This window comes from Homo sapiens, chromosome 1 (assembly GCF_000001405.40).
Source record: "Homo sapiens chromosome 1, GRCh38.p14 Primary Assembly".
In the NCBI taxonomy this organism is placed as follows: domain Eukaryota; kingdom Metazoa; phylum Chordata; class Mammalia; order Primates; family Hominidae; genus Homo; species Homo sapiens.
Window position 1 is genome coordinate 55,773,219 of NC_000001.11, and position 25,540 is coordinate 55,798,758.

The window sequence follows — 25,540 nt, forward strand, 5'->3', positions numbered from 1 at the left end:
TCAACTTTTTTGAGAAGTGGGAATTTAATACATAATTTTTCATTAAACATGCACTTTCATTCTTGATTGCTGCTGAAATGTTTATCACAAAATATGACAAGACCATTGTAGCATGTGTGTTTACACTGCTGGATATATAATCTACCTCAGGACTGCTCAGCTGGTTTTTTTCCTTTGCACATACTTTATTTACACTTAATCCATAATTTCACAAGCTTCCCGCTTACCCCACGGACTAGTAGCCTGGAAGATTTGTGCATCTGAAAGCCCAAGGCAAGGGCCACAGCACAACTTCAAATGGCTGATAGGGAAAGCGGAATGAATTTTCTGCCACCACTACCTGGGACCGAAAGGAGTTAGCTAACTCTATCCAATCATGTCTGAGTGTAGTTTATTTTATCAGTGAGTACCCAGCAAACTGTTGTTGAAGGAGAACATTTGATTTACCTTGCATCTGAAAAATGTCAGGAAAAAATTACTGTATGAGTTATTGTGATTCTTTCCTATTTCATCATGTGCTAAAGTGAGAACTTTTCCCATGCATACTTGGCAAGAGCATGGCAGAAGCTTGATGTACAAAGTGGTTTTCTGTCAGATCCATCTCAGGGCATTTTAATGTAACTACTAAGAACATTTTTTTAAAAATGAAAAGTCCAGGGGAAGTCCTAAAATAGATGGGATGCTAAGACAACCAAAATATACTAGAACTTTCTCAGGCAAATTAAGATATATAATACTTTTTACAGAACTATAAAGACCTAGATATTATACTTTTCTCTCAAATAAGAAGATTGTCTTCAAACATATTTGCTTTATTAAAATTATGCTGATAATTTCCCAAGTATCAGTCACTTAATCTCTATTCTTTTATTCCCAGTAAAAATCAAATCATAAATAAAATTTAAAGAATAATTTTAGCAAACTAATGATAGGAAGGAAACTCCTCAATCTGGTAAAAGGTATCTATGAAAAACACAGAGTTAATATCATACTTGGTGAACAAATATTGAATGTCTTTCCTAGAAGATCAGGAACTAGGCAAAGAGGTCACTCTCATTAGTTCTACTCAATATTTTACTGAAGCTCCTAGTCATTGCAATAAAGCATGAAAAAGAAATAGAAGTATAAATGCTAGTAAGGGAAAAGAAAACTATCTCTATTTGTAGTTGACATTAATGATGGTATAGAAAATCCAATTTCATGTTACCAGACAACTCTATTTGTGAGGCATGTGATACTTTGTTTCGAACATGGTTATTGACTCTTATGTGTATGGTATGGACTCTACTAGGACCTTACTAGGGAACCCCAGAGGAAGGAGTGAGATCACCACGATAGGATTAGTGTCCTTATAAGAGGAGGAGACCAGAGCTCACGTGTCTACCACATGAGGATACATTGAGAAGGCAGCTGCCTGCAAGCCAGGATGAGGGCCCTCCCCAGGAAATAAATCTGCCAGCACTTTGATCTTAGATTTCCCAACCTCTAGAACTATGAGAAATAATATCTGTTGTTTAAGTCACCCAGTCTAAGAGTTTGTTATACCCACCCAAGTGGACTAAGACAGTAGCTATTACAAACCAGATGAGAAAACAGATCACCCAGCAAATTGAGTAATAGCCAAAACTAGAACTTAGCTTGCTTGACCCCCAAACCTCAGGTTCAATATGCCAGGCTCCACCATCTTTTGCCCAGTGGTGTATCTGAAAGGGAGTTCTTTCTCTCACAGAAGGTGTGTGGAAAAGGACAAACCATCTCTATGGGTAGCCATTTTCTCCCTTCACAATGTGGAAAATTTAAACCCTTTAGATAGACAGCCTGCCTGCACACTCAGGAGACAAACAGATCCTGGCAAGCTCTTTGCTCCAAAATCACCCTTCTCCAGTTACACTCCCCCAGGTTCCTCGATTAGCAGGCCCCGGCAGCTTCTCTCCACCGAGCCAGTCTGGGGTTGAGGCCTAATGCATCACAGGTGGGTTCTGGCTCCAAACTCATTCCAGATGGTCTCACAGTCTATGCTTCCCTGCAACTCATTAAATTTTGGCTATCTTGGGATCACTAATGATGCTGAAGGGCTATGAGGATGGCAGAGACATATTCTGAAACCAGGACCTTTGAGAGGCATTGTATATTGGAGCACCCACCATAATATATGCATTCACAGGGAGCAAGCATATGCTGACCTTGACTCTCAGAGGTCACTGTGAGGGGCTTATGAATTTGACATTGTGAATGGTCTGTCTACTTGGGTCACAGAACGAGTATAAAGGGATCAACTGTGCTGTTACAGAAAATAGCTCTATTGCCTCTGGGCTCTAGAGAGAGTAAGGATATATCCTTGAACCCTAGTAATTGCTGTACCAGTTATTCCTTGAGAGGAGGACATGCTTGGGCAATTGTTTAGGGGCACGGGGTGAGCCTCATGGATTTTAACCCTTTTACAGCCATATCCCTTCAGAAGAGGGTAATATTCTGTTAATTGCATCTTCATATAACAAAAAGCTATGTTCTACAAAACAATTTTTGGCTTATTTTCTAGCTGGAAGGCTGCCCAAAGCATATACTAGAAGTTGAGCAAATAGCAGATTATTCAAGAGATATAAGTTTATGATATGGTTTTGGGAAAAAAAAGCAAAACACACTTGAAATTATCTATGTTTTGGTGTCTTAAGAGCTCAGGTATAAAAATCTTATCAAGAGACAAGAATATAACATTTAGAGCCAATCATCCTTGGAATTCAATCTCAATCCCATCATAAGCTTGGATAATTTGTTGGAGAAACTATTCACTTTTCTGACAGCCATTATCTGTGAAATTGGGATAATATCAACATAAAAGGGTGTGCACTGGTTTTGTTTACTTTCTCACTTGTGTATTTTTCATTGTCATGAATTCATGCATTTGTTAGTTCATTCCCCTAGTATCTTTTCTGTCCCAGGCACCATGTTAAGTTATACAAGAAATCCAGTCTAGGAAACAAAACTGATGTTTAACACAATTCAACAATGTGTTGAGCACTCACTATGCACCAGTTGCTGTGCTAGGCAACGGGCAGAGAGTGGTAGACGACCCAATGACTGTCCTCATGGGGGTTAGGGTTTAGTAGGTAGTAAACAATATTGTATAATGTGATTGCTGCTTCAACTATATGTTCTGGTACACTGGAACATGGAAGGGCATAGTTGTCTTTACTTGACTGGTTCACTAAGGACCACCAAGGAGAAGACAGTGGATCTGGGTTCTTAGGAGGAGTGATAGGAAGGATCTGGGCAGGAAGAAGTTTATGTTGGGGCCAGTCTAGAAGAAACCAGTAGCATATATAGATACATTCCTAAAGTTATCCTATTTTCCTATTTCTTAAACTCTCAAAATATATATTACTAGTCCCAGAGTTTTCAAAAATATATTACTGTCTATACTTTTCTGTGCCATTCATATGTTCACTACCAGACATAGCAATTTTTAATACTCCATGTTTTACTCCTGAAAAAAAAATAAAACAAAAAGAAAAACAAAATAATTACAAGCATTGGTCATGTTGAAATTCCTTTCAACCACTGTGGCAGGAATTGCTAGTTGCTTACCTGAATCCATTTTTTCTTTCTGCCTTATAAGCAGAACACTGACTTATTTCTGGCTACAAGACTGCATTTTGTTTTGGCTTCTCTTTGGGTAGGGGAGATGGTTGGCAATGAGATGGTTGTTTTATTTTTAAGTTTCTTAATGTGGGTTAAGAAACAGGGTTTTCTGGGGATTTGTTTTGCAGGAGGAGTCATAAGTTTATAATATATGACATTGGATATAGACCTAAGTAAATATAACATGAGTCTACCATGAACCTGGGTCTGCAATAAGTGTGTATCAACTCTTCATGCGTATTACGTTTTCATCTCAATGCAAGCTGCTTCCTGTTTTCACTGTTCACTCACCCAAGGCCCTACAGTTTATTAGGGACAGGAATAAGGTTCAAACTTTAGTTTATTCCACTACAAATTGGAATTGACAGGAGTAGGAATAGTGGGACTTGAGACAGTATATGCAAAGCACACAGCATTGGTCTTTGAATGTAGTTGGTGCTGAATCTAAGTTTCCTTCGCCATTTCCCCTTTACTTTTTCGTATACCTGACTGCAGCAATATCGAAACAAGCCTGTTGACAATCAGCGTGAATTCTTTGTAGAATGTGTGTGTATTGTGTACTCACACACATAGATGAGGGAAAGCGGTGGTTCAGAGAACATTGCATAGGTATCAAGATGCAATGCAGGGTCTTGTGTTTATTTGGACTGCAACAGAGGATATGTCAGCATCTCGTTACCTGGCCTGGAGAGTGGACCTTTTGATTGGGTCCTGGTTTCAATACCCATTATGAAATCAAGTTTGGCCCGTGAGCCAGGCGCCTTTTTATTCATGTTTGTCTTTGCAGTTTCTATTGCATATATCTCCCTGATGTCTGGGCTGCTGTACAATGTAAAAATCATGATCAAACAGCCTGAGGATCAGCTACTAGGCAAGACTCAAACAAGCCACATATGTGTATGGTTCCCATCCATCCATACATACATATATGCAATATAAAGTTGTTCTCAATAAAAGCATGAGGAAAAACTAGTAGCAGAAGTAGTCAGGGGTGAGTGTTGTGAGAACAAGGCATTTGGCAGCTGCTGGAAGCCTGACCACACTTCTGTGTATGTCCACACCTGTAGAATCTGCCATTGCTTGCTCCTAGTTTCATTCCAGTGCTCATGCTTGCCATTTCCTGCCTCTCTGTATTTACCCCTGCTGTCCCCTCCTCCTGGGATGTCACTCTCTAACTCATACACCTTTCAAGACTTTGTTAAAGCTCAATGATCTCTAGCAGCAGTTTAGATAGATTGTCTCTCTGCTAAATCATGAACTACTGGATAGAAGAGATAATATGTTTTAGTGATTGCAATTCCAAAGCACAAGAAACCACAAAACCCCAAAACATATAATATGCATACCTAAGGATTTTATTTTAATGTAATGAAATGCTGGTATTAATAAGAGTATTTCATAAGAATATTCATAAAACTTAAAAACAAGTAAGATGGAATATTTGATACTTTTAAAATATTTTTATACGCATAGTAAAAATCAAGTTAAAATAATGCTAAACACACACCATTCTAAAACATTGGATAAAAGCAAGCTAAACACTGCACACGAAAATTCATAAAAACTTAATATTGTACTTTTAAAACTCAGATTTCATTTAAGAACAGTATCAATTTCATATTGGCTGGATAGGCAGTGTTTGAGGAGATTACTATCTTGCATTTTATTGGTTCTTATAATTCTGATGCAGAAAAACATGGATCAAAGCAAAGGGCTGGATGACTTGAAGATAGATGAGCTGTTTTATAACCAAGAATTGTCAAATGCATCTTCTGGGAATAACAAGTTTTGATATTTAAACATTTTTCAAGTAAGTTCAATTTTTCAGTTTCTTTGCTGTCCGTTTTGTATTCTACTTGCTTCGAAATCTTTCATCTGGAGCAAGGTTGTCCAACCTGTGGCCCAAGACAGCTTTGAATACATCTCAACACAAATTTGTAAGCTTTAAAACATTGAGTTTTTTGCAATTTTTTTTTTAGTTCATCAGCTATCATTAGTGTATTTTATACATGACCCAAGACAATAATTCTCCCACTGTGGCCCAGGGAAGCCAAAAGATTGGATACCCCTGATCTAGAGTAAGAAACATGCTTGCTGTTAGGTTCTCTGGAGAAACAGAAGAGTATATATATATATATATATGTATATATATATATATGTGTGTATATATATATGTATATATACACACACACACACACACACACATATATACATACACATAATACACACACAGAGGATTTTCCCTTCCTCTGCTTTTTGTTCTATTTAGGTCCTACATGGATGGAATGATGCACACTCACATTGAGGAGGGCTATCTGCTTTACCCAGTCTGCTACTTCAAATGCTAATCTTCTCCAGAAACACAGACACGAGGTTTAATGAAATTACCTGGGCACCCCATGGTGACCAATCAAATTGGCATGTAAAATTTAGCCATCATACCTGCAGTAGAATAATTTTCATAAGTTGTCATTTCTTCTTCCTCACCATCTCTTGCAGATTAAGGAAACACTACATGTTCTAAATGACCATGACTGTTGAATTTGAAGTTTAAATGTATATAGCTGTATTAGGAGTCTCCAGAGGAAAATAACCAATGGAATATACACAGAGATATTTAAAGAGATAATAGGCATTGGCTTACATGGTTATGGAGACTAGGTTGTCCCATGATCTGCTGTTGGTAAGCTGGAAAACTAGGAAAGCTGGTGATGTAATTCAACCTGAATCTAAAGGCCTGTGAGTTGGGAGGTCAATGGGAATACCGATGTCTGAGGTCTGAAGGCAGGAGAAAATGGACATCTCAACTTAAGCAGAGAGCCAATTTGCTCTCCCTCTGCCTTTTTCTGTTCAGACTTTCAATGGATTAGATGATGCCCATCAACATGGTGAAGGGCCTTTCTACTTTACTCAGTTGATCAGTTAGATTGCTGATCTCTTCTAGAGACACCTTCACAGATATACCTAGAAAACATGTTTTGTTAGCTATCTGGTCACCCTTTAGCTCAGTCAAGTTGACACATAAAATTAACATCACAAGTCTACCCTTTGTCAACTTGGCACTTAGACATCTCTTTACCATGCCATACAAACCATAGTTTCCAAATAAACATAATAAGGTCAGAATTCTAACATGATGTAATCCTGTGTACAACCTAAAATTAATCCCTTCTCCCCAAAAGGAAAAATTCTGAATAATGTTTAATCTGTTATCCTATACTTAGATACTATGATGTAAAATTAGCAATATTAAATACTAATAAAGTCAATGTCTTATGTTACGTAACAGAATGAAAGAAAGATATTTGCTTAATATGTATCTATATATATATATATATACACAAATGTATATATAACAAAATGAGAAAACATTTGTGACAATTACAGTCCTCATTTCTATAACTGGCCACATGGTTGTAGCTGGTATTTATAACTTCTTCTACCACCCATTCTGCATTCTCTTTGCCTTCAGCAACAATCTCAACTGGTCAGTTATTTGCTTTTCAGGGTGACCCAAACCTTCATTCTTGAAAGGTCTGGGTCACTTTTCCTGACAATTCCTGTCTGTATTGGGTTATAGTTTCCTATTGATGTTAACAAAAGAACATGGTAATACTAAAAGACACCCTAGGGGGTTTCCTGTATCCCAGACATTCTACTTTACCTCAGCTGTGGAGTAGTAGAGTTCAATTTCCTTTTGGTAGTCCATATCAATCACCCCAGCCCACATAACTCCTTTCTTTTACTGTTGACTCAGAGGCAGGAGGAGTCCAAAGTGGCCAGGTGGCAATCTTAACTTGCAGTTCAAAGGAATTATGGTTGGGTCTCCTGGTGGAAGCATTTTCCCCCCTCTGGAACTAAGATCTCTAGGCCAGCAGAGCATAAAGTTGGAACAGGAAGCAAAAGTTTTGCTAGTAAATGAGAGGTGCCACTCTATTTCTACCCCCTTGATTCCTGGCTATCAGAAATAGCACCATATATTGGACACTGATTCAGAGAGTATACAGTCTCTGGAGAACCCCAACTCTGCAAGGTATTCCAACCTAGTTAGCCCCACCATCCTGTGAAGCCAGCTGCTTCACGATAATGAGGAACATGGTAAGATCAGTTAATTCGATGAGCATGGGCCAATTGCCTCACTTCTTTTCTGTGATGTGAGTTCCTTGATAAGCTTCTGTGTGGAGTATCATTATGGTGGATGAGGCATTTTGTAAGTCTACAGATAATTTTGGCAGAAGCATTGTGTTCAGGGAAGGCAAATCCATATCCAGAGTAAATGTCTACTCTGTAAGAACAAAATGCTGCCCATTTCATGATGGAAGAGATCCAATGTAATCAACCTTGCCACACTAGGTGGCTGGCTGATCACTTCAAGAAATGGTGCCAAATTGGAGGCTCAGTATCATCTTTAGCTGCTATCAGATCGGCATTCAGCAAGTCAGCCTTGGTGAGTGGAAGTCCACATTGCCGAGCCCACGCATAGCCTCTATCTCTGCCACTATGACCATTTTTTTAAAATGAGACCATTGGGCAAAGAGGTAGTTGGGGAAAAAGACTGATAAAATGACCCATTCTGTGAACACCAATCACGTTATTAAAATCCTTCTCTGTTGAGGTCACTTTGAGAATTCACATGGGACACAAATATTGCATTTTGTCCATTCAGAGAGGTCTATTGACACACCGCTTCCAAGTTTGTCAGTTTTCTAGTCATGTTTTCTTCCAACTCTGAATTATTGTCTACAGCTCATTAATTGGTATACCATATCTGGCCATTTCTTCTGAGCAAAGTCCACAACCAGGTACGGTGCCCAAATTTCTGCCCACTGGCAGGGTTTCCCTTTACTACTGTTCTTTATGTATATTCCAGAGAGAGCCTGTAGTACTGCCCCTGTTCACTTTCAGGCAGCTCCCACATTTTATATAGAACCATCTGCAAATGAGGCACAAATCTGTTCCTCTGTCAATTGATCATCGGGAACTCCCATGAGGCCATAGGTGCAGGCTGGGAGAGAGAGGCAGTATAGCCTGAGTTGGGACTACAAGCATTTGGGCCACTTCTTTATATAACCTACTTGTACCTTCAGGGCCTTCTTGAGCCTGATTACACACATATAACTTCCACTTAATGTAGCAGTGCTGTGCACACCTAACTTTATGGCTTGATGAGTCAGATAACTAGTGTATAATGGTAAGCTCAGTTGCAATGGAAACTTGGTGACTCATGGTCAAGTGTTCTATTTCTATTAAGACCCAGTAGCAGTCCAAAAGACATCTATCAAAAGGAGAGTAGTTATCTGTAGATGATGGCAGGGCTTTGTTCCAAAATCCTAAAGGCTTATGTTGCAAATCACCAATAATGCCCCACCAACGGCTCCAAACAGCATCTTTCTCCATTGGCATTTCAAGCACCATAGGATCCGCTGGATCACATGGCCCAAGTCTCAGAACAGCTTGCACAGCTGCGTGGACCTATTGCAGAGCCTTTTAAAAAATTCTGGGCCTCACTCCAAACTGGCAGCTTTTCCATTAATGTGGTGAATGGGCTGGAGTAACATGTCCAAATGACAGACACATTGTTTTCAAGATCCAGACAGGTCCATTAGACATTGTACCTCTCTCTTGCTTGTGAGAGGGGCCAGATACAATAACTTATTCTTCACCTTAGAAGGGATATCTTGATATACAACTGCAACTCTAAAGCTTTCCCTGAGGTAGAAGGCCCCTGAATTGTAGTTGGATTTATTTCTCACCTTCTGGTATGTAAATGTTTTACCAATAAGTTTAGGATAGTTGCTAATTCTTGCTCATTAGGTCAGCATGTCAATGTAATGAACAAATGGAATGCCCTGTAGAAGGGAAAGGTGGTCAAGATCCCTGGAAACCAAATTATAACACAGGGCAAAAGAGTTGATATACCCCTGAGGTAGGACAGTGAAGGTATATTTCTGGCCTTGCCAGCTGAAAGGAAACTGTTTCTGGTATGAACAGGTATGGATAAAAAGGACAGGTAAATAACCGTATACCAGGTACCAGGGGATGTGTTAATTGGCTGAAGCAATGAAATCACATCTGGTATAGCAGCTACAATTGGAGTTACCACTTGATTAAGCTTACAGTAACCTACTGTTATTCTCCAAGATCTTCTGTATAGGCTAAGTAGAGTGGAATGGGGATGTGGTGGGAATCACTATCCCTGCATCTTTCAAGTTGTCGATGGTGGCACTAATCTCTGCAATACCATCAGGGATGCCACATTGCTTTTAATGCACTATTTTCCTAGGTAGAGGCAGTTACAATGGCTTCTACTTGACCTTGTCCATCAAGTTACGGACAGGTCTTTGTTCTTAGAGCTCCCCAGATGTGGTGGGCCGCTCCCAAGATGGGGGCAGGCCTTTTGTTCTCTGACCTGGGGTTCTTGGCCTCATGGATTCCAAGGAATGGAACCTTGGGCCATGCGGTGAGTGTTATAGCTCTGTTAGAAGCCGTGGGTCACGGAAGAGAACCATGGAACCCAGCAACTAGTATTCAGCTCGATTAGAATGAACCCTGGGCCCTTAGCCATGCAGGAACAATGGTGAGCCTCTAGCCTGATCAGGAATGGCAATGGGCACCTCACTAGATCAGAAGCACAGCGGACACCCTGCCGCATCGGAGGGGTGGAAGTCAACAGCGGGTGTGCGACGGCGGCAAACAGCAGTGGTGGATGGCGAGTGAAAGCTCAGCTTAAGCCATAAGAAACATGGACCAGAAGAGAGTGTAATTGCAAGATTTAATAGAGTGAACATAGAGCTCCCATACAATGGGAGGGGACCCAAAGGGGGTTGCCCACCCCTGGCTCGAATGCCTGGGGTTTATATCCCAATCATTGTCTCTCCCTCTGTGTTCTCAGGTGATAGATGATTGACTGTTTCTTTTACCTCCTGCCTTTAGCTTAATTGGTATTTTAGTGAGCCGCTCTTTACTACCTGATTTGTCGGGTGTGAACTGAGTTACAAGCCCCGTGTTTAAAGATGGGTGTGGTCACCTTCCCAGCTAGGCTTAGGAATTCTTTGTCGGCCTAGGAAATCCAGCTAGTCCTGTCTCTCAGTAGCCCCCTCAACATGAAAACTCAAGTGCTATTGGGGAGGTTGGCTGATGATTGCTCTAACTGCTTCCTGCTGAATTGGGGTGTAGTAGGGGTTGTGCAGTTGAGATTTCCTCAGGAGGAGTGCCTTCGATGTCATCAACAACAGAGCATGGGCTAGCAAGTCGGTCCAGGGGTCTGTGGTAGATCTTAGTCATGGGCTGCATCTGGGGCTCCATTTGAAGAAAGATTTGTAGTTTTACAGCTTTGATTCTGGAAGAGACAAACTTAACAAGGAGGTTAAAGATACAGGGATGCAGAAAAAGGCATCCTTAAGGTTCAGGACTATAAACAACTCTGCTTCCTCTGGTATTTGGGAAAGCAGAGTATAAGGGTTAGGTACAGCTGGGTATAGAGTGACAACAGCCTCATTGATAATCCTGAGATCTTGCACTAACCTCCACTGTCCGTTGGGTTTCGGTACTCCTAAACTTGGAGTATTGCAGGGGCTATTGCATGGTTTCACTAGGCCTCGGGCTTTTAGGTCCTTAATCTTTTGGAGTCCTTGTTGGGCCTCGGGTCTAAGGGTGTACTGCCTTTGGTAGGTAAAGGAGGTGGAATTCTTTAGTATAACTTGAACAGGATAGGCATTCTTTGCTTGTCCATATTGTCCTTCTGTTACCTAGACTTCAGGATTAATTCCTTCCTTAAGCAGGGGACAACAAACGGGTGTTCCTTTTCCTATGTTCAGGTGTATAATGGCCTCTGCTTTTGCTAGAATGTCTCTCCTTAACAAAGGAGTGGGGCTTTCAGGCATAATTAGAAAGGCATTTGAAAAGAGTAAAGTTCCCCAGTCACAACTTAGTGACTGGGAGAAGTATCTAGTGACTGCCTGTCCTAGGACCCCTCGAATAGTGACAGATCTGGAGGACAGTTGTCCAGAATAGGAGAGTAAGACTGAGAAGGCTGTGCCAGTGTCCAGAAGACAGTTAACCTCCTGACCCTCAATGGTCAAGTATACCCAGGGCTCTGTGAGGGTGATGACATGGGCTGGCGCTTGCCCTGGTCACCCTCAGTCCTGCTGCTGGATCATCTGGTTAGTGGCTTCTGAGTCAGAGGACCTTCATCCCCTGGGGCAGTGGACCTTCCAGTGATTCCCTTGACATAAGGGGCATGGAAGAGGGGGAGGCTTATTTCTATTCGGACAATCTTTTTAAAAGTGTCCTTGTAGACCGTACTGGAAGCAAGCCCTATTAGGCATTCAATTTGCCCAGCCTTTCCCTGTTCCAGAACCTCCAAAGTCCGCTTGCCTGAGGGCCATGACTACAGTGGTGGCCTTTTTTTTAATCCTGTTTGTCCCGTTCCACCTGCTCTTCCTGATCTCTATTATAAAAAACCGAGTTTGCCAAGTTCAATAGGGTTTCTAAGTTTTGCTCTGGGCCTAAGGCAGACTTTTGAAGTTTTTTTCTAATGTCTGCAGCTGACTGAGTGATAAACTTTTCTTTTAAGATTACTTGGCCTTCAATGGAGTCAGGTGACAGAGAGGTATGCTTCCTCAATGCCTCCCTTAGTCTCTACAGAAAGGCGATAGGATTTTCTTCCTTTCCCTGTGTTATAGTGGACATCATTTAATAATTTATAGGATTCTTCCTAGTTTTCCTTAGTCCTTCTAGCATGCAAGTTAGCAAATGTCTGCGGCACCAATCTCCATGTTCTGATTCTGCGTCCCAGTGAGGGTCTACATTGGGAACTGCCTGCTGACCTGTGGGGAATCATTCTCTTTCCTGTTGTCATTCTTTCATTGACCTGACTGAGATACCAGAGATCGCAAAACTCTTGGGCTGCAGTTATGGTGGCACTTCTCTCATTTGGGGTTAGTGTCTGATTTAGCAGTAACATCTCTCTCCATGTCAGATCAAAGGATTGTCCTAACCCTTGTAAAACATCAATATAGCCATCAGGGTTATCTGAGAATTTACCTAGGTCTATTTTAATTTGCTTTAAATCTGAGAGGGAAAAAGGTACATGCACTCTGACTGGGCCGAATTCTCCAGAATACATCTTGGGTGCATTTTTGCCATGAGAGGGAACATTTCACATCTGAAAAAAGAACATAGGGATGGCAGCACACCTAGTCATTTTCTGATGAGCATTAGTCCTAGAGCATCCTCTATGGTCCTAATGCTTATTCATTTCCAAGGTGTGTAACAACCCATGGACCTCTGCTTATCAGATTAGTTACACTCACCAATGTAGCAGTCCTGCACCTGTTTTCCCGCCTTTCTTGACCACAAAGAAAGGGGTCCAGGCTGCTAGATTCCAGTGGTCCTTTACCAGAGTGCCCAACATTGCCTTTGCACTCAGAGGCGAGTTCTAGAGCTGAGCTGGTTTCCTGAGTATTTCATAACAACCCAGCTGCCCCATCAAGATGCATTCCCGTAAACAACAGTTCTTACACAAATTCATTTCAGAGAGGGTGTAGGTAACCTTTTGAGTCAGGATTGAGATGGAGTTTTGATTCTGTAAGTACTTTAAGGCTTGGCTGAATGCAAACAGCTGGCACGTTTGAGCAGACCAATTATTTAGGCAATTCTCCTAACTCTGCTTCCACTAGAGTCTCCCTATCAGTTACTGAATACCCATTGTGTTTTTTTTTTTTCCCTCAATCACCCGGGAGGAAGCATCTATTGTCCTGTCCTGAAGGGAATTCTTCCTAAGTCTGGTTGGACCTTTGTATGGTAGTGAAGATTTAAATCCTCTGTTAGGAAATCTGCCGGGTTAAGGGAATTTTCAGTGGTTAGTGTTAAATCACCTTTTTCTAACAGAACAGCCCCATACTTTAAGATTTTTGAGTTAGTAAGCTCCCGTTTTGCTTTTTGACTTAGGATAGTTCTGAACTGGTGAGCTGTGCTCACAATGAGGTTTCCTCTAAAGGTTATTTTTCTACTTTTAGCAAAGCAGTTGCCGCTACCGACTGAATGCATTTGGTCCATATGCGGGTTACTGCGTTAAGGATATTTGATAGGAAGGCTACAGGTTGTCAGTGGTCTCAGTGTTTTCAGGCTACGCCCTTGTTTACACCAACAAGGTAGTACTGGAGTGTTATAGAGTCATGGAGAAGACCTTCAATTATCAATTATAGGTTTTAAATTTACCCTGGCTTTTAAAGGAATAGGGCACGCTTTTTTCTTTACTACTTCCATCTTTTTCTTTCTCTCTTTGACTCTGTCTCTCTGCCTCTTTCCCTCTCTCTTTTCTCTCTGTCTTTGTAGATGGATTTTGGAAACACAGTGGAAGGACATTTGCTCATTGTCCCCATTTGCCACTATAGGAATATGGGCCTCCCTTTAATTTACTCAATTCGTTTTCATCCTGATCTAGTATGTTGTCGTAGACATAGTCCCAGTTGTTAAAGTACTGGGTCATCAGTTCTAAGGCCCTGGCCAAGGAGCCAAGGCTTGGAGATTGTATTGCAGAGGTGTAAGCTGGGTAGAAATTGGGGGAGAACATCTTACACATGGGAGAACAATCCTCCTAGCCATTTACAAATGTGGGGCCATGGCTCATAATAGAACTTGGAGGCTTGGCAAGGGTGGTGGGGAACGGGTCCCACATAACTGCCCATGTCGAGAGCTATATACCTAAATTGGGAGGGTCATCAGGGACAAGACTCCCTGGGTTCATAGCCTAGATGCCTAAGGACACAGCATAGAGCTTCCCTAGATCCCTTTGGAGATACAACTTGCTCTAATACTTGGGAGCGGAAGTAAAAGTCTGAAGCATTGGTACCTAGGAGGCAGGGATCACAGGAAGTAGATGAGAGGTAAGGAGAATTTTGGGGCTACACTTTCAAGAAAGTCATGGTTGGGACCCAGGAGGTATGGGTCAGAAGAAGTAGGGGTACACACATGGGAGTAGAGACTTCTGGCTGCACCATGATCCCAATTGGCCAATTCTGAGAGTTCAGGACGACAGCTTTCTGCCTCTAGTCAGCCCTCAGCTTCCCCCAGGAAATTGTGAAACTGGAAGCTGGTTCCAGACAGACTAATGCTCCCAACCCAGAAGGGTTGGGGGTTGTTAGAAAGCCTTTTCCCAGGAAGCCTCACACCTGAGTCCGGCGGCCATGCTAATCATTTCTAACCAGCCGACCAGGTGCCTGGTATTTTCCTCCAATTCTAAGGAACAATAGGACAGAATAGCAAGTGAAAGTGGTCTGATATTATTCACTGCTTTGGAGAATCCCCATATGAGGCCACCAAATGTTACTGGGGGTCTTTGTTCTTAGAGTTCCCAAGATGTGGGGGGCCACTCCCAAGATGGCAGCAAGCCTTTTGTTCTCTGACCTGGGGTTCTTGGCCTCACAGATTCCAAGGAATGGAACCTTGGGCTATGCAGTGAGCATTATAGCTCTATTAGAAGCCGTGGGCCATGGAAGAGAACCATGGAAACCAGCAACTAGTGTTTAGCTCAATTAGGATGAACCTTGGGGCCTTAGCCATGCAGGAACAATGGTGAGCCTCTAGCCCAACCGGGAGTGGCAATGGGCACCTCGCTAGATCAGAAGCACAGCAGACACCCTGCCGTATCCAGAGGGGTGGAAGTCAACAGTGGTTCTGGGATTGCAGCAAAAAGCCATGGTGGACGGTGAACAGCCGTGGTGGACGGCAAGTGAAAGCTCAGCTTGAGCTGTAACAAACATGGACCAGAAGAATGTGTAATTGCAAGATTTAATAGAGTGAAAACAGAGCTCCCATCCAATGGGAGGGGACCCAAAGGGTGTTGCCCACTCCTGGCTCGAATGCCTGGGGTTTATATCCCAATCATTGTCCCCCCCACTGTGCTCTCAGTTGTTAGATGATTGACTATTTCTTTTACCTTCCGCCTTTAGCCTAATTGGTATTTTAGTGAGCCCCTCTTTACTATCTGATTGGTCAGGTGTGAATTGAGTTACAAGCCCCATGTTTAAAGGTGGGTGTGGTCACCTTCCATAGCTAGGCTTAGGAATTCTTAGTCAGCCTAGGAAATTCAGCTAGTCCTGTCTCTCAGTAATAGCCCTTACCCTACAGGTCAGGAAACCACTGTGGGTTTTCTACTAGCTGCTAAGTATATCTATTTTATTTAAGCATTCTGAATCTGGGGAAATAAACACAGGGTGGGTTTGGGAATCTACGAGACCCACTGTAACACAGACTTGAGTTAAAATTCCATTGATCACCTGACCTCCATAACCCCTACTCTTACTGGAGAGCCACAACGATGTTTTGGGCTTCTGGAATCAATGTCATTTCTGAGCCAGTGTCTAGTAGTTCTTGAAAGTTCTGATTTCCTTTTGTTCAATGTATAGTTAAAGTGGTTTAAAAAAGGTAGGTCCCTTTGGGAAAGGCAGGGTGAAAGATTGACAGTATATACTTTTGGTAGTGTATTGAGGGCCCTCTTTGAGGCTCCCTTGCCTCTCCTTCATTCAAGGGGTATACATCTATAATCTGGCTCAACCCTGGGAATTGAGGGATCATGACTGTTTTTATTATTCAATTTAGACTTTGTTTACTTGATCTAGGACTTTTCTGCTTATATAGATGAAGTAAAAGTTTACTGGGCTTCCTGTCTATTTCATTTCTAGGATTATGATTAGCCAATACCACAGGTCTACGTGAGTCCAACTATTCTGATTGTGGCTTTGACTTTGCTGTCCATTATGGTATTATTCCCAACTTGCTTTTGGTGATTCAGTGTTGCCACTTGGCCCCTGCCACTGTGGAATCCAATTATTCACATTGCATTTAGGTTTTCCAGTTGAGTGGCTGCAGTCACCACTGAAAGGCCTAGCCTACAAATAATAATTATGGAGTTCTTCAAGGACACTGGAGCTCACCTAACTAATGTATTTCTCAACATATTAGTGAAAGGTAGGTCTTCAGGACCCTCCAAGAGTGGGTGGGTAGGTCTTAAATGAGATCCACACTAACATTCCAATCTCCCTAAGCCTTTGAATTCCTTTTTTCTACATTAAACCAAGGGAGTTTGGGCATTTACATTTTTTCATGGTAGGCCATCATTTTATTCATATTTCAGCCAATCAACCAAACTGTTAGAGCTCTTCCTAACTCTTTGAGCCAGAACATTAAATGCAGAATCTGCTTAGTGAGTCTATATCAATAAATTCAGTCTGATCCATAAGTTTTTTTCTACCATCATCTGATACCTTTAACACCCATTCCCATACATGGCTCTGGATTTCTGTTTATATAAGTTAGCAAACTCAGGTAGCTCTTTTTGAGTGTAGTGTAGCCCCTCCTGGGTAATATTTTGTACTTTACCTTTAGATATTTCCTGGGACTTGAGTCTAGTTAGAGGTCTAAAAGCAAAGAGGGGTATTGGTGGGTCCTGAGCAGAGCCAGCATTGTCTTACATAGTAACTTCCTCAAGGTGGGCCATTACCATTTCCTCAAGCAAGGGAGGATTAATCTCTTCAGATTGAGGGAGAAAGGCTGTTACTGCTGGGAATCAGGAGGCCCCTTCTTCTGGGAAAAAGGACTTATTTAGGAACTAAATTTCCCCAGCTTCATCAGAATCTTCCCACATGTCCCCATTCCAACTTATAAGATCCCATTTGTTCCCAGTCAATTCCCTAATTTTAACAGTAGATAGCATGCAAAGCTGGGAATTCAACTTGCATTGTGATTCAGCTAATTTCAGGATCAGGTTCTGCGTTTGATTTTTAGTTATTTAGCCCTGTAGCTACAGGAGATAAGGTTCTCCTCTAGGCATGCCTGAAAGTTCTGAGGTCATTTATGTAGTGCTTGAGCTGGGAATTTGAGTCCCTGAGCTCACCCTTTTTCCACTTTGTCCAGTGCAGCAACAACCCAATGCCATTTTTTAGTTTTCCAAAAATGTTTGAAAGTATGTACAGAGTCACTTAACTCCTTGTTTCTAAGCAAGTTCCTTGATATAAGTGGTTGATTAGAAGTATTGAATGCAGATATTTTGTGTGTCTCTATGAAGAGTTTATGCCATAGAATATCACTGCTCTCTGTTACTGGAAATAGAGTTATTAGTGTCTTTAAATCTAATCAGATTAGAAAGCCAATTTCAGAAACCCCAGAACCAGTTTAGAAAACGTATTTTTATTTTCTTTCTCTAGAACCATTCTTTCAGTAACAAAACCTATATTAGACAGTTCACCAGGGAAAGAAAAGAGCCAGTATAACATACATACACAAAAATATTATAGAAATTGGCTCACATGATTATGGAGGTCAAGATATCCCATGACCTGCTGTCTGCAAGCTGGAAAGCTGGAGAAGCTGGTGTAATTCACCTGAGTTGAGAGGCCTGAGAACTGGGGAGCCAATGGCGTAAGTCCTTGTCTGTGTCCTGTGTTCTAAGGAGAATCAAAAGCACCAATATCTGAGAGCAGGAAAGTAGAGAGATGCCACAGCTCAGGCAGAGTGAGTTCACATTTCCTCTGACTTTTAATTTTATTCAGGCCTTCAGTGGATTTAAAGATACTAGCGACTATTTCAGAGAGACAAAAGGTAAGAATGAGAAGAGTAAAGCACTCATCCTCCCTTACAGGCAAGTGGCAAAAGTTAAGACCATGCTCTTTAGAACGAGACAGACTTGAGTTCAATTCCTGCCCTGCAAGTCACTGGCCACATATCCTTGGGCAAATTATTTAGCTCTATGGTACCTCAGTTGCCTCTTTAGTAAAATAGGAATAATTATAATTACCTCTACCTGTGAGGGTTTCATGAGTTATATGTTTAGAAAAATAAACATAGGCCAGGCACAGTGGCTCCCACCTGTAATTCCAGCACTTTGGGAGGCCGAGACAGGTCAGGAGTTCAAGACCAGCCTGACCAACATGACAAAACCCTATCTCTATTAAAAATACAAAAATTAGCCAGGCATGGTGGCACACACCTGTAATCCCAGGTACTTGGGAGATAGAGGCAGGAGAATCACTTGAATCTTGGAGGCGGAGGTGCAGTAAGATAAGATTGTGCCACTGCACTCCAGCCTGGGGGAAAGAGTGAGACTCAGTAACACACACACACACACACACACACACACACACACACACACACACAACAAAACAAAACAAAAAAAACAGATGCCATGTCTACTATAAGAATTCAACTTTCCTCTTCTTTTTCCTCTGATCCTCCTTCTACGCCAAACATAAGATTCCCCTTTTGGGCAGATTTGCCTTTTCGGGTGTTTCAAACACAAAGTGAGACAGGAAGAAAGCTGTTCTTTTGGTCTGTAAGCCAAACCTCTAATCAAAATTCCTGAGGGAGATTTGGAGACCTACATTTCTTCCCTTGAGTACACCAGCCAGAGGCACTGGGTAAATCTCACAGGCATGGAGATGTAAACTCATGGTTCCTGGTCAAGAGCTTGGCAATATCAGAGGTCTTACATGTTTCTGGGCCACATTTTCTTAATATGCTTATTGGAGCTTTGGATGTTATGTTTTTCCTCTTTTTTTTTTTTTTTTTTTTGAGATGGAGTCTCGCTCTGTCGCCCAGGCTGGAGTGCAGTGGCGCGATCTTGGCTCACTCCAAGCTCCGCCTCCCGGGTTCACGCCATTCTTCTGCCTCAGCCTCCCAAGTAGCTGGGACTACAGGCGCCTGCCACCACGCCTGGCTAATTTTTTGTATTTTTAGTAGAGATGGGGTTTCACTGTGTTAGCCAGGAGGGTCTCGATCTCCTGACCTCATGATCCGCCCGCCTCGGCCTCCCAAAGTGCTGGGATTACAGGCGTGATTCCTCATGTTTTTTAAAGCTTGGAGTAAATAACTTTGTATATTCTAATACTCTGAAATCTAACACATACTAAATTAATTTTGTAGCATTTTCCAATTTACAAGACCCTTTCACATGTTTTCATGTTTAATGTGAAGATATTGTGGTAGACAGGAAGAACATGGGTTAACTCCATCCTACATGGGTTTGGGCCCAGGGAAAATTGAATAAGAAGTTACAGGTAAGTAGGAAGGTGAAAATGGGATTTGGACAAAGAAAAGATGTCACAGGCAGGTTTTAGAAGACTTTTGGAAAAAAAAAAAGATCAGGGTACAGCTGCAGGTTGGGTGTGTATATATGTGTGTTGGATCATGGGAAAGAGTATGTAGATGAGCTGACTAACTGGAGAACACATTTATGTTGTTAATTTGCTGTATGCTGTGAATGGAACACTTGGCATTGCTCAAGAGGCTGCAGTGAAAATGTAGGCTACCTCTTATTTTTGGATGCTAGTCTGATTTTTCTTAATAATTATACTATAACAAAGGGGATTACAGATTGAATAGCTTGTATAAAGGTGATATAAACAATAAATTACTTGTAGCACACATCAAAAACTAATTGCTACACACTAAATGTATTTCTTCATAGTCAAGAACCCCAGACATCTTCTAGGTCCAATATTTCTTAAGAATCAGTATTCTTTTAAGTCCAATCAGAATGTCTACTTTCTATGCTAAATGGAATATATAATACAAGTAAAATTCTAATTTGTGAATAGTGAACACAAATCAATAATACTGAATAATACAGCTTTAAAAATTCTACCATAATAGGTGTATCTTAAGTGGTAACTTTCTTTTTCACTAAAAATTAGTGTTTGCATTTGAAAAACAAATATGTATGATAAAGAATTAGCTCTGTTATTAGTATTTTTCCTTAAACAGTGTATGGTCTAGATCTATTCAGCTTCAAAGAAAGTGCACTCTCTTCCACACTAAATCATAATAGCAGATCAGTTTGTAATACGGGTTATACAAATGATGTATATTATATTGATGGCAGTGGCTGCTGCCATCACGCCAGCTGCGGCAGGAAGGTGCAGCTGCAGCAGGGAAGCGCGGCTGGGGATGCACACTCTGTGGAGCTGGTGGGAGCTCTGCCCCTTCTGAGTTGGGGCAGGAGCCTGCTCAAACCATGGTTGCAGACCCCGGTTTCCTGCTCTACGGAATCGGCAGGAGCCCCGCCCTCCTGGGCAGAGCTACAGCCACCCAAACTGCAACTGTGGGTGTGAGCCTCCTTGTGCTCCTGGAGGGGTCCAGGAGCAGGCAGGATGTCCCCTCCTGGGTGCAGCTGCAGTTGGCAGGCCTGTGGCTGCAGACCTGGGCCTCCCATTCCGCTGAGCTGGCAGGAGCCAGGGAGAAGCAGGAAACCCACTCCTTCTGAGTTGTGAGGTGGGAGCGCCCCAGGTACAGCAGGTGCAGGACCTGGGCATCTTTGCAGCATACATCCTCCAGGGCCTGGGAAGGTCCACACAACCTTCCTCCCTACATCCTTGCTGGCTCAGGGATGTCTGCTTCTGCTGCCTGGCTTCTCTCCTCTCCCACACCTGCTCCAATCTTGGAATGGGTTGGGGCCTGGGGTCATGAATGGCAGTGGGAGGCAGATTGATTCCTGGGTGGAAGTGGGGGTAGGTCCCCAGTAAGGCCCCACCTTCAGGACAGGGAGGGCCTGAAGGCTGGGGGCCTGGCTGCCAGTTCCATGGACCAGAGTGGGAACTCGGACCAGAGTGGGAACTTGTGGTGCCTTTTCCAACCTGTTCATGGGCAGCCATGGGCCAATTGGTACACACTCCCTCCCCTTTGAGGTCCATAAAAGCCCTGGGCTTAGCCAGAGCAGGGCAGAGGATGCCCAGAGGATGAAGAGGGCAGAGAGACTACCTGCCAATCAGCTACAGAGAGGACCTACCCTCTCTGCTGATAGCTAGAGATGAGGGAACAACCAGTTACAGAGAGGAACTACCCGTTCTGCTGAGAGCTGCAGACATCAGGAAGACCAGTTGCAGAGAAGAGCTACCCTCTCTAGGGCCTCTTCTCTGCTGAGAACTGAACACTCAATGGATGACCTTCCTACAGAGAGGAGCTACCCATTCCAGGTCTCCTCCGAGCTATTAACACTCAATAAAGCTCATCTTCATCTTGTTCACCCTTCACTTGTCTGTGTACCTCATTCTTTCTGGATGCAGGACAAGAACACGGGCAAAAGTGCCATGGCCACAGAAGTCAGAGGTTTCCAGCCAGAAAATTGACACCCCAGAGATCCCATAACAATATGATCATAAGAAAATGTATTCATAGAAATTAGTGTAATTGCATATAGCTGAAAAGTTTATGACAAAATGTTACTTATATGAGTGACACCAGCAAAATGGTGGACTATGAAGCTCTAGGCTCTCATTCCCCCTGAAAACATCAAATGCACAATAGGTTGGCTGAAACAGCTTTGTGTGAGCTCTAGAAACCAGGTGAGAATCTGTAGAAACAAAGTGGATGCCCAACCAAGAAAAAGTCATACTGAAATGGTAGAAAATTGTTAAATTTTGCTCACTTTTGCCCTAGTTCCTCCATGGTCTGGTAGAGCAGTCAGAAGGAGGAAGCCACCCAATTCCCAGTTTCTCCCTTGGGACAGAGGAAGATTAAACTATTTTTAACATTCTGGATTGTCAGGTGGGGTGGTGGGGGCAGGGGGGTGGGGGCTACTATCCAAGAAACCATTTGTCTTACTTGACTTGGAACTCCCATGGGAACAGTTTGCACAGTTTGAATATGAGGTTGGAGGGTGAAAGCAGTGGTCAGTGCCACGGCACCTGATTGGTGCAGAGACTGCAGACCTGTAGGTTCTTGGGGGACAGAGGTTATGGGCAGAGAAATACAGTAGAACTTTCAAGGCCTTGAGAAGAAGCAGAGAGGAGACTCTTACAGAAATGAAGACATTTAAAAGTAGCCATTGATATGGGGAATTAGGAAGGAAAAGCACACGCACGGATCCAAGAAAGTTAAATTCCCTGGAAAGACCTGAGAAGACACTTAGTCATCACCCTAGGCTGGCTGACCAGTGAAGGTCTTCCCCTACAGAGAGCCAGTGTGAAAAAGGTTGAAAAGATAGCTATTTTTGTTCTAAATACCCAATTTTCAAAAAAAGACTACAATGGATATAAAGAAACAGGAAAACAGACCTTTCAAGAAAAAAATCTTTAGAAACTGACTCTAAAGAAACAGTGTTTAAACTTACTTGACAAAGACTAAGATAACTGTCTTAAATATGCTCAAAGAGCTAACAGGAGACAGACAACTAAAGGAAACAAAACTATGTATAAACAAACAGAATGGCAACAAAAAAGTTAAAGTTACAAAAAATGGCCAAAAAAACACCCCCCCCCCCAAAAAAAACCCTGGAACTTAAAAACACAGTAACTGAATTGAAAAATTCATGGAGTTGTTCAATAGTAGACAGGCAGGAGAACTAGTAGATTTGAAGACAGGTCATTTGAGATTATCAAGTCTGAGGAGCAAAAAGAAAAAAGAAAAATGAACCAACTCTAAGGGCACTGTAAGATATCACTAAGCACCTAAAGGAATTCAATTACCATTAGATCTGCCCTGTAAGAAATGATAAAGGGTTAAGTTGAAATGAAAAGACACTACTAGCCAGTACCTCAAAGCCATGTGAAAATACAAAGTTCTTCAGTAAAAGTAAATACATGGAGAAACAAAAACCTGTATTATTAAAATTTGGGTTTGTAGCTCAATTTTCAATTCTTTTATCAAATTTAATAGATGCTAATATAAATGATTATTAATCTTATGTTAATGGGTATATAATATATAAAGATGTAATTTGTGATATCAATAACAAAGTACAGGCATGAGGAGTTGTAAAGGAGTAGAGTTTTTGTATGTGATTAAAATTAAGTTGGTTTGAGTTTAAAATATGTTGTTATAACTTTAGGATGTTAGATATACCATAATCTCCACAATAACTGTATATAGAATATAGAAGAAAGTGAGAAAGAAATCAAGGTCAGGAGCAGTGTCTCATGCCTGGACTCCCAGCACTTTGAGAAGTTGAGGGAAGAGGATTGCTTGAGTCTAGGAGTCCAAGACCAGCCTGGGCAACATAGTAAGACTTCATCTCTACAAAATGTAAGAAAACATGAGCTGTGTGTGGTGTCACACCTGTAGTCCAAGCTACTCAGGAGTCTAAGGTAGGGAGGGTTGCTTGGGCCCAGGAGGTCAAAGCTACAGTGAGCTCTGATCATGCCACTGTACCTCAGTCTGGGTGACAGAGGGAGAACCTATCTCAAAAAAAAAAAAAAATTACAAAACTCAGGTAAACACAAAGGCAGGTAGTAAAGGAAGAAATTAGGGTTATAAAAAGCTATAAGACATACAGGAAAAATGCCAAAATGGTAATAGTAAGTCCTTCTCTATAAGTAATTACTTTAAATGTAAATAGATTAAATTCTCCAAAGGATAGAAATTGGCAGAATTAATTTTAAAGAGACAAACAGGATCCAAGTAAATGCCGTGTAAATGAAATTCACTTTAGGATATACAAGTATAGGTTGAAAATTAGAAGATAGAAAGTTATTACACGCAAGTAGTAACCAGAAGAGAGCAAGATTGGCTATGTTAATACCAGACAAAATGTACGATGGTCAAAAACTGCTAAAAGACAAAAACATTAAACAATGATAAAAGGGGAAGTTCATTAAGATAGAATAATTCTAAACAAATGTACCAAACATCAGAGTTCTTAAATATATGAAGCAAACATTGACAGAATTGAAGGGAGTAATAGCTTTACAATTATAGTAGGAGATGTCAATATCTCACTTTTGATAATAGAACTATCATACAGAAGACCAGTAAGATAATAGAAAACTTGGACAACATGTAGGCCAATTGGACCTAACCAACATATACATTCTACCCAAAAGCAAGTTGTACGTTTTTCTCAGGTACACATAGAACTTTCTAATTCTCCAGAATAGACAGTAAGTTAGGCCACAAAATAAGTCTTCAATAAGTTTGAGACAAATCTCTTACATATAAGGTATCTTTTCCAATCACAAAGGAATAAAACTAGAAGAAGGAAGGAACATTGAATATCAGCATGCAGAAGAATTGAGTTTGGATACTTACACTATATGTAAGAATTAACCCAAAATGGCTCAAAGACCTAAACACAGAAACTAAAGTTGTAAAACATAGGGTAAAAGCTTCATAACACTGGATTAGGTAACGTTTTATTGGATATAACACCAAAAACACAGGCAACAAATATAAAGATAGATTGGACTGTATCAGAATTAAAAACTTGCGAGCACCAAAGGACTTAATCGTCAGAATAAAAAGGCAACTCATGGCATGGGAAGACATTTGAAAATCATATCTGATAAAGGGCTAATATGTAGAATATATAAAGAGCTCTTACATCTCAGTACCCTATTCAAAAATGGGCAAAGACTTGAATAAACATTTCCTTAAAGATTCATGAATGGCCAATAAGCACATGAAAAGATGCTCAACATCACTTATAATCTGGGAAATGCAAATCAATCACAATGAGATGCCATTTCATATCCTCTAGAATTACTACTATGAAAAAATGACAAATAGTAAGTGTTAAGTGTTAACAAGTGGTAAGAGTTTAGAAAAACTGGAACCATGTGCACTATTAGTAGGAATGTCAATGGTACAGCCACTATGAGAAACAGTATGGATATTCAAAAAATAGAAAGGTAATATGATCTAGCAATTCCACTCATGGGTATATGCCCAAAAGAATTAAAAGCATGGTCTTGAAGAGATATTTGTGTACCCATGGTCATGGCAACATATTCACAATAGCCAAAAGGTGGAAGCAACCCAAGTATTTGTTGATAGGTAAACAAATAAAAAAGTATGTATATAATATTATTCAGCCTTAAGAAAGTAGGAAATTGATACTTGCTACAATCTGAATGTATTTTGGAGATAAGTGAAATAAGACAGTCAGAAAAGGATAAAAAATTGTATGATTTTA

General features: G+C 41.3%; 1 long non-coding RNA gene across 1 annotated transcript in view, besides 2 other annotated features; it reads right to left on the reverse strand.

Moving 5' to 3' along the window:
- Positions 1,213-3,544: an enhancer, noted in NCBI's record as "VISTA enhancer hs1622". NCBI's record gives its function as "enhancer in: limb[5/6] | branchial arch[5/6] | facial mesenchyme[5/6]" and the evidence as "EXISTENCE:transgenic organism evidence [ECO:0001131][PMID:17130149]".
- LOC105378740 (uncharacterized) overlaps positions 10,443-25,540 on the reverse strand; it is a 71,267-nt gene continuing 56,169 nt past the window's right edge. The window contains exons 2-3 of the long non-coding RNA XR_947380.3: positions 17,949-18,086; positions 10,443-10,992 (exon numbers count right to left, since the gene is read on the reverse strand). This is a non-coding gene — a long non-coding RNA (uncharacterized LOC105378740). The remainder of the gene's footprint in view (positions 10,993-17,948; positions 18,087-25,540) is intronic.
- Positions 15,760-15,929: an enhancer, noted in NCBI's record as "experimental_8540 CRE fragment used in MPRA reporter constructs". NCBI's record gives its function as "activates a minimal promoter by MPRAs in K562 erythroleukemia cells, with activity observed for the non-introgressed 1:56254736 variant allele {active_cell/tissue: K562}" and the evidence as "EXISTENCE:reporter gene assay evidence [ECO:0000049][PMID:34662402]".